Source organism: Homo sapiens, chromosome 16 (assembly GCF_000001405.40).
Source record: "Homo sapiens chromosome 16, GRCh38.p14 Primary Assembly".
NCBI classification, from domain to species: Eukaryota; Metazoa; Chordata; class Mammalia; order Primates; family Hominidae; genus Homo; species Homo sapiens.
In genome coordinates, this window is record NC_000016.10 from 87,182,991 (window position 1) to 87,192,900 (window position 9,910).

General features: G+C 48.6%; 1 annotated feature.

Annotated features, from left to right (window-relative positions):
* Positions 3,410 to 4,260: an enhancer, noted in NCBI's record as "H3K4me1 hESC enhancer chr16:87220006-87220856 (GRCh37/hg19 assembly coordinates)". NCBI's record gives its function as "activates a minimal SCP1, AML or CMV promoter by ChIP-STARR-seq in naive and primed H9 embryonic stem cells {active_cell/tissue: H9 hESC(naive and primed)}" and the evidence as "EXISTENCE:reporter gene assay evidence [ECO:0000049][PMID:30033119]".

Genomic DNA, 9,910 nt, shown 5'->3' on the forward strand with positions numbered 1-9,910 from the left:
CTCAAAAGAAACCCCATGCCCATTAGCAGTCACTCCCTATTCCCTCTCCTCCCGGCCCCTGCTTTCTGCTGTCTTTGTGGATTTGCCTCTTTTGGAAAACTCACATACGTGGACTCATGCAGTATATGGCTGACATTGTTTGGACATTTGTCCCCACCCATATCTCATGTTGAATTGTAATCCCCAGTATTGGAGATGGGGCCTGGTGGAAGGTAACCGGATCATGGGGGTGGATTTCTCATGAATGGTTTAGCACCATCGCCTCAGTGCAGGTCTCAAGACAGTGAGTGAGTTCTCGTGAGATCTGGCCATTTAAAACTGTGGCACCTGGCTCTCTCTCTTGCTCCTGCTCCAGACATGTGACAGGTGCCTGCTCCTCCTTCACCTGCCACCGTGATTGTAAGTTTCCTGAGGCCTCCCCAGAAGCCAAGCAGATGCCAGCACCACACTTACGGTACAGCCTGCAGAACTGTGAGCCAATTCAACCTCTTTTCTTTATAAATTACCCAGTCTCAGGTATTTCTTTACAGCAATCCAAGGATAGTCTAATACAGTGGTCTTTCGTGACTGGCTTCTTCCACTTAGCCTGATGTTTTCAAAGTTCATCGATGTTGTAGCACTTCATTCCTTTCCATGTCTGAGTATTAGTCCACTGTGTGGATAGGCCACATTCTCTTGACTCATCAGTTGCTGGAGTGGTGGGCTTCAGCTGAGCCTTGGGGTGGGGGTGGGAAGGTTCTAGGAAGGAGGCAGCAGGCAAAACTCCAAGGTGGGTACAGGCGTGGCCCCCAGACCACGGGAGACTGTATGAGGGAGGGCTCTCAGGCCGCCAACACTGAGCGCCCTCTGCCAGCTGCACCACCTGGTGTCCATCCATGATGACAGCTGCTTGGCCATAACACCCGCCCAACAGAGCACTGAGACACAGGGCAGGTCCAGGTAAACTCGCCTCAGTGTGTCCACTTGTCGCCGAGGTGTCCACTTAAAGGGACACCCAGAGCTCTCATGAGCTTTTTCTCTCGAATATCTACAAGAATATTCTGCGTAGTAAAAATCCAACCCAAAGATCAGCCCAATGCAGAAAAGTAACCCCTGGAAACGACCTTTCATGCACTCATTCCCTCCAATCTTTATCGTCATGTGCTACATGCTGAAGATGCAGCAGCGGGCAAGAGACTGCAGCCCCTGCTGTTACAGGGTTCACAGTCTGATGGGGGAGCCAGATGTTAGACAAATAAAAACTCATGCTGCAAACCACAATGGGAGCTGCTAAAGTGACAGGAGGTAAAGACAGAAAGCACTGAGGAAGGGGAGGACCTGCCTTGGATTGGATGGTCAGGAAAGGGGGATTTAGGCCAAAAAATGGGGGATGAAAATGAGTCGACCACGGAAAGGGCCAGGGGTGTTCCAGGCAGAAGGAATATGTGTGTGTGGAGGTGTTGGGAGGGGGTCTCAGATGGGAAAGAGTTGCACTGAGACACTGATGGGCAAGGCAGGGGAGGCGCAAATGAAGTGAAAGCCAGAGGCGCCATCGTGGGGCATTTTCCCATGGAGATCTGAAGCGGGAGGGGCCGTGGGTGCAGGAAAGGTGGGGAGTGGGGTCCAGGGTCCCTGGAGTTGGATAATTCCCTTTCTAACATGTTAATCTCTTTATTTGGATTACTATTCATAAAATGAAACGACATACCTGTCAAAAATATAAATTGAGCCCGGGAGGGTGTAGTGGATCCCACCTGCAATCCCAGCATTTTAGGGGGCTGGGGTGGGTAGCCTGATTGAGCCCAGGAGTTTGAGCCTGGGAAATATGGTAAAACCCTGTCTCTACAAAAAGAAAATACAAATATTAGCTAAGTGTGGTGGTGTGTGCCTGTAGTCCCAGCTATTCGGGAGGCTGAGGCGGGAGGATTGTTTGAGCCTGGGAGGCTGAGGCTGCAGTGAGCCATAATTGCACCCCTGCACTCCAGTGTGAGGGACAGAGTGGGACCCTGTCTCAAATATATATATGTGTGTGTGTGTGTGTGTGTGTGTGTGTAAAACATTTGAGCCAATGCTGGGAATAAAACCTTATATGATAAAAGCTGGAGAGCAATGCAACTTGGATAATAATGTTAATATTAAACAGTGATGTAAAGCATTATATTTGTTAGTAACATACAAAATGAACTGCCCAAGCGCAAAAGGACTTCCGGGGTGCACTATTTATCCCCATGGCTCCCTGCATGGGGCTAGCTTGGAAATGCCATTCGTGCACTGTTGACTACATTCGTCCATCCATCGCTTCGTTCATTCAACAAGCCCATGAAGCCACAGGGACAAATTCACGGGTAAATATAGCAATGATACAACTAAGTGCTGGACCGGCCTGAACAAGCCGTTGGATTTAAGGAATCTGCAGAGCACAATGACTGGATGAGTTTTGGAATCGGGCAGACCTGGATTCAAACTTCATCAAATGCTCCCTGTGCAATGAACCAGCTGCCTGCTCTCCCCGGGCTCCCGTTAATGGGTCCATAAAAACCTACCCCACAAGGGGGCTCCCATTGTTAAAGCAGCCAGTTCCAGAAAGCAGCTGGCACAATCCCTGGCACGCTGTAAGAACAGGCCGGGGCCACTATTGTTGCTGTAAAATAAAGATATTTTTGCTTAAAATAGAACAAGAGCAAATAGACCAAAATGTTAACAAAATTTACCCCTAAGTGTTAGAATCACATGATTTTTACCGTCTTAAAGATAATGTTCTGAATTGCCCACATTTTCTACCATCAACATGTAATTTTTACGGAACGCGAAGGAGCGAGTTGAGAGTTTTTTAGATGGAATCCATTGCATTTGACAGTCCTGACTCCGCTGCTTGGCCGGAAAGCGCGCAGCAAAGGACCGCAGGAGTCAGCCTCGGCTCCTCCCAGGCCCCAGGGAAAGCAGCTCACAATGCTGCCGACACCCAAAGTGAGGACTCTTTCTTTCCATGACTCCTCAAATCCCGCCCTAGTGAGCCGCGGGGGGTCTGCTGGGGCAGCTTGAAGGTCAAGACCAAAATCCCACCTAGAGAGAAAGTCCGGCTGTGGTTGGCACCTGGCGGCCCACCTAGGAGGGACGGTGGACCTGGAGGCCACAGAGCCGAGGCCCACCGTCCTGACCAGCCAGGAGGCATGGGCACCCGCCTCTCACCACGGGGCTCCCTCCGTGTTGAAGATGTCCCCAGCACACAGGGACGCCCAGGACGACCTCCCAGGAGGGCCAGGGTCGAGGACGCTGTGCGATGACCCAAGGGCAGAGCGCTGTTTCCGTGTGTTTTATGAGCCTCGCAATCCCTCCTCCCCTCTAAGCCGGTGCAAAGATCCTTATTTAAACTATAAATTGAATTAAAACTCATATTTAATATGCAGTTATGGTGCGGTTAATGGTTTTATGGGCCAGGCTGTTGCCTTCCTATTGCTTACAATGTTGTCCTTTACGTTTGCCAAAACCAGGCTGCTCGAATGACCGAGCGGACGCCAAGTTATTAACAATTATTACCTTTTACAGTCATTTTTGGCCCTGGCATGCTTTTTTGGTGGTCTCATAATTTCAAAACAGAGACCTTTGAAATCTTACCCCGAGACCAAACGGGCCTGCGGACGGCAATTCCTCTCTCCCCGCCGAGTCCGGCCCATTTCCCATTGTGAGCTGTTCTTCCGCCCACACACCCCCAGCAGGAGTTCCAGCCTATGCCACAGGCTGGCTTCCCGGAGGATGGAGCCCTCCCGGACACAGGGGCCCCTTCTCAGGGGCACACAGGACAGCCTGAGCCACACCGTTAGTAGGGGTGGACGACCTCAGGGGACTGGCCTTCCCAAGGTCACCCAGGCCGAGAGCCGAGGGCACACCATGGCCCTGTCACAAAACCACAGCCCTGTTGCCCTACACCAGCCACGACCCTCACAGAGCTTTCCTCAACCTTGCACATCTGGTCATGACTGTTAGCCACATTATTATACCTCATGCATGTGTGATCTGGACACAGGGTAGACTTCACACGTGTGTGCATGTATGTGTGTGTGCATGTGTGTGGGTGTGTGTACATGTGTGCATGTGTGTGGAGTGTATGTACATGTGTGCGTGTGGGTGTGTACATGTGTGCATGTGGGGAGTGTATGTGTGTGTACATTGTGTGGGTGTATTGTATGTGTGTACATGTGTGCATGTGTGTGGAGGGGTGTATGTGTATGTACACGTGTGCGTGTGTGTGGGTGTGTACATGTGTGCGTGTGGGGGGTGTATGTGTGTGTACATGTATGTGTGTGGGTGTATTGTATGTGTGTGGGTGTGTGTACATGTGTGCATGTGTGTGGGTGTGGGTGTATTGTGTGTACATGTGTGTGGGTGTATGCATGTGTACGTGTGGATGTGGTGTGTGTACATGTGTGCATGTGGTGTGTGTACATGTGTGCGTGTGTGTGGTGTATGCACGTGTACGTGTGCATGTGGGTGTAGGTGTAATGTGTGTGGGTGTACGTGTGTGTACATGTGTGAGTATGGATGTATGTGTGTACATGTGTGTGGGTGTATACGTGTGCGTGTGTACGTATGCATGTGTGGGTGTATTGTGTACATGTGTGCGTGTGTGGGTGTATGTGTACATGTGTGGATGTGTGGGTATGGGTGTGTGTGTACATGTGTGCGTGTGTGGGTGTACGTGTACATGTGTGGATGTGTGGGTATGGGTGTGTGTGTACATGTGTGCACGTGTGGGTGGGTGTATGTGTACATGTGTGCGTGTGGGTGTATGTGTGTGCATGTGTGCATGTGTGGGCATGGGTGTATGTGTACATGTGTGGGTGTGTACATGTGTGCATGTGTGCGTGTACGTGTGTGGGGGGCTGTATGTGGGTACGTGTGGGTGTGGGTGTATGTGTACGTGTGTGGGTGTATTGTGTGTACATGTGTGGGTGTGTACATGTGTGGGTGTGCATGTGTACGTGTGTGGGTGTATTGTGTACATATGTGCGTGTGTTGGTGTACATGTGTGCGTGTAGGGGGTGTGCGTGTGTACATGTGTGCATGTGTGTATTGTGTGTGGGTGTATGTGTACATGTGTGTGTGTGGGTATACATGGGGTGTGGGGGTGTGTATACATGTGTGCGTGGGGGGTGTGGGTGTATGTGTGTGTACATGTGTGCGTGGGGGGGTGTGGGTGTATGTGTACATGTGTGTAGGTGTGTGTACATGTGTGCATATGTGTGCACGTGTGAGTAGGGGGTTTGGATGTGTGTACATGTGTGCGTGTGTGGGTGTGTCTGTACATGTGTGCCTGTGGGTGTGTGTACATGTGTGCCTGTGGGTGGGTGTGTGTGTCCATGTGTGCGTGTGGGGGAGTGTATGTGTGTACATGTGTGCATGTGGGGTTCTATGTGTGTGTGCGTGTGCATGTGTGTGGGGTGTGTGTACATGTGTGCGTGTGTGGGTGTATGTGTACGTGTGCATGTGTGTGGGTGTATGTGTGCATGTGTGCATGTGTAGACATGACAGAGCTCATCATATGACCTCCAAGTTCTCAAAGCAACTTTTATTAAATACGTCTTCCTTAATGGATTCTGCGTGCTTTAAATATGTACAAATATGTATATTTATTATACATATTTATATGTATATAACTTTTAGATATATAATATATACATATTTGTAAGGTATTACATAAATAAATATTATACAAAAACTACAATGGGGAAAAAAAAATAAAGTCCACATCATTCTTCCTTTTGGGTCCCACATCCTCCAAAATTGAATGGCTAGTTCTGAATTTTGAACCGAGGAGTGTGGGCAGGAGGCACCAGCTTCCCTAAGCAGAAAGCAGGCAGTAAATCACGAGGACGGGGTCTGAATGTTGTTGTTTATACCCCCTCAATATCTCAGTGGGAAAACTATAGGTGTTTAGAAGCCCAAGGGCATGTCCCAACCCGGTGGGACCGGACATTGCTTCTCATTCCTGGCCTCACAGCTCTGCCCACATGTGAGGTCCACAGTGAGCCGCTCACCAGCCCCCACATTAGTGGCAGGCACCCATCAAAACACCTCAGTCTGTCAAGGGATGAGCCAAATGTCCACAGCAGCATGATTCCTAATAGCCTCACAGTGGAACAAGCCCCATGTCCAGCTGATGAACAGATAAATAAAATGAGGTCTCTCCACACAGTGGAATATGATTCAGACACGAAAGGAAATGAAGTTCTGGCACAGGCCGCATCGTGGATGAACCTTGAAGCCATGATGCTGAGTGAAAGAAGCCAGTCACCAAAAGCCGCATCGTGTGCAAGTCCATTTCTCTAAACATCCAGGACAGGTTAATCCACAAGCACAGAAAGCAGAGAGGTGGCTGCCCAGTCTGGGGAGAGCGGGAAGTGGGAAGCGACTGCTCACCAGCTGCAGAGATTCTCTTTGTGATGATGAAAATGCCTGGGAATTACACAGTGGTGCTGATGGTACAAATCTGTGAATATGCTAAAAACTGCTGAATTACACACTTCAGATGGGTCCACTGTATGCTAGGTGAATTTTATTTCAATCAGGCTTTTTAAAAAAATAGCTGGCTGCCACACCGCAAGTATCTCGAGCCCCTGCTGAAGGCCCCGCAATTCCAGTGCCTGGGTGGCCCCGAGGTTGGCCGAGGTTTCCTGGGTGGCCATTACCCTACCACAGGCACATCGGATTCCTGGAGAGACAACCCAAAGTACAAGGGGTTTCTGCAGAATGACACCAGCTGGGTATTAATTTCTTAGGGTTCCTCAGGAGAATCGCCTCTGCTTGGATTCTGCTCCGCAGTGCAGTTGCTCCTCTGCAATGCAACTTGTTTTCTTTGGTTCCAGACTGGCCACCCCATGAGCTGAAGCTGTAGGCCTTTGGGAAAAAGCTGGAAGCTGCTGTTGAGCTGTAACACAGCAGTGAGAATGCAGGCTTTGGAGCTGTGTTTGGAAAGTAGGTGTGTGTATGGCTTTAACTCTGTGTTTTTAAGCGTTAGTGAGACCCTTTCATCTGCATTAGCCCAGTACCTGAATGGCTGTACTGAGAAAAGCCAGCTTCATTCTACAGAAGATAGCCTAAAAGAAGGAGCTGTGGACAATTAAAATGGACACAAAGTCTTTGCTCTTCCTCCTTTGAGAGGCAGAGTCTAATTCTTCTCCTCTTGAATCTAGGCCATCCTAGATTGGCCTAGTTGGTTGGCCAATGAACTGTGGCAGTGATGAGTTGGGATATCCAAGGACTGATCCTAGGCAGGCTTCCACCTTCAGTATTTTCTGTGAACACACTGAAGGAACCTTGAGCTGATACGTAAGAAGTTCACCCACTCTGAGACCACCCTGCAGAGGCCATCTGTAGGTGACAGCAGCTGAGCCAGTCTTCCAGCTCTCTTTGCCAAGGTGCCAGAAATGAGACTAAAGCAGCCTTGGGACCCTCAGAATAATAACCCATCTGTCAGCTGAATATCACCAAGTGACTTCCATCCATGCGACAGAGAGCAGAAGAATCACCCAGCTGAGCCCTGTCCAATTCCTGACCCAAAAAATCAAGATACAGAATTAAATGTTTTACTCCTAATTCCCGCTACCCAAATTCCTGTCACCGTGTTACCTTGCATTGGAAATTCTCAGTGTGGGTGATACTGCTGCCTAGAGGGTGTTTTGGAAACTACGGGCATTATTGGTTGAAATATTGCTGGAGTATTACTGGCATTTACAGAAGGAGGTGCAGCAAGGGCCACTTGGCATCCTGCAATGGGCAAGACAGCCTCATTCAACCAACAATTTGACCCACACCCTGTGCAACTTGTGACATTCACAGAGATGAACGCGTTCATTGAGTAATTATCTGAGCCTGGGACATAGCTCTTTTTACATACAGATGCAAAGCATTTTTTAATAATTTTAACATACTCTGAATATTTCAAATATGTAACTACCACATAAATCAAAGGAAGACTACAACTTGCTTGGTTCATAACCTCATTAAAAATTGTTCAGAAAATTACAATGAAAGTTGGCAAGCCCTTGTGGTATCTGAGTCACCCACATGCACTCAGAGGAGCTGCTTCTGAAGCTACCACTCTCTTGGCAAGTCTGCGAGTCCATATGCAAATATACTTATTTAATCCCTATCTTAAAATCTTAAATATCAATAGACAGGCCTGACAATATGCCATCGAGTAGTATCTTCTTTAAAGTCCAAATTCACTCATGATAGGTAGAAGCAGCTGACTACTTGGTTAAGACTTCTAGCATAGGTGTTCGTGAGCCCTTACATATTAAAATACATATTTTAAATAGATAAGATCCTTTTATTTCTTTTTCATATGAGTTAAACCATTGTTTTTGAAATTCCATCTGTAGGTACATGATGTTATATGAATTCCATTTCAGAATTAAAAGGAACTGTTATAAAATAGTTGCATTCGAAGGGATCCTTGGGCTGGGCACAGTGGCTCACAACTGTAATCCCCGCACTTTGGGAGGCCGAGGCAGGTGAATCACGAGGTCAGGAGATCGAGAGCATCCTGGCTAATATGGTGAAACCCTATCTCTACTAAAAATACAAAAAAATTAGCCAGGCATGGTGGCGGTCGCCTGTAGTCCCAGCTACTCGCGAGGCTGAGGCAGCAGAATGGCGTGAACCCAGGAGGCGGAGCTTGCAGTGAGCCGAGATAGTGCCACTGCACTCTGGCCTGGGTGACAGAATGAGACTCCATCTCAAGAAAAAAGAAGGGATCCTTGGGTTTGACAAGGTTGAAAACCATGGTGCTACAATGGGCTTGGGTCCCTGGTGCCATCCAGGGAAGGGTGGAAGTTTCTTGAAAAAATCATAAGGCCCTGTAGACACTGTAATCCTGTATGCACAGGGTAAAATCAGTTGACAAAATATGTCTTTGACTTGCCCGGAGCACACTTTGGCTGTCATCCTTACTGCCTAACTGCTGTGTGACCCAGAGCAAATCAGGCCCCTCTCTGAGCTCTGGCTTACTTGTCTGTACTAAGAACACCTTCCAGGGGACTCAAAATCCCTAACAAAAAGCAATCATGCTCTTTCCTTGGGGAACCCCCGGAAGATGGTATTTTGGCCCCTGTTGATGACAGGTCCTTCCATACAAAAGCCAGGGTGAGAAAAGGTCTGGGCACTGGGAAGGAAAAGAGAAAGCTTCCATCTTCATCCTTAGAATCAAAAAGCACCATTTCCCATTCACCCATGTTAAAGACGGAAAACAAGAAAAAAAAAAATTCCACAGCACATGAATGCCTCAGAAGACACAATGCAAGGCCGCTTCTGGAGAGAAAAAGTGGGGGGATAAATCGGGCTTTTCAGCCCGCGAATAAAAAGTGTCCTTTAGCAGGCGATAATTATATACAGGAAGGCAATTAAAGTTTTAATAATTTAATTACCTTCCTGCAAACCCATCAAGGGAAAATGTGGAGTGAAAACATTGTTGAGGGCCAGCAGCCGCGATGAGGGGATCAAAGGCTGTGAGACAGCTCAGCTCTGAAGCAGTTGACACATTAATTTTTACGGGCTGACCACCGTTATTAATAGAAGAAACTAGATGGAAGTATTTTTCCACGGTGGGGGGGACCACATCGTCATTTGATTTCTGATGTTACAGCAAACACAGTTTTGGCTTCTCCCTGGAAATGAATCTTGTTTTCTTTGACCTTCACTTGGCTTGAGGCAGGGCCAACTTCCAAGACTGAGCCTCACAGAGTGGGCTCCCCGCTCAGGGCTGCCGTTTCAGAACATCAACAAGAAACCCGGACAGGAGATCAAAGGGAGCCTGGCTGGAAACCTCGGGACAGGGCGGGCACAGCCAGGCACTGGAAGGCAAGAGCACCTTGTAGCTGCCCGCCCATTGATGGGGCCGGCCCAGGCCCCCCAGCCTCAGCCACCCTCTCAC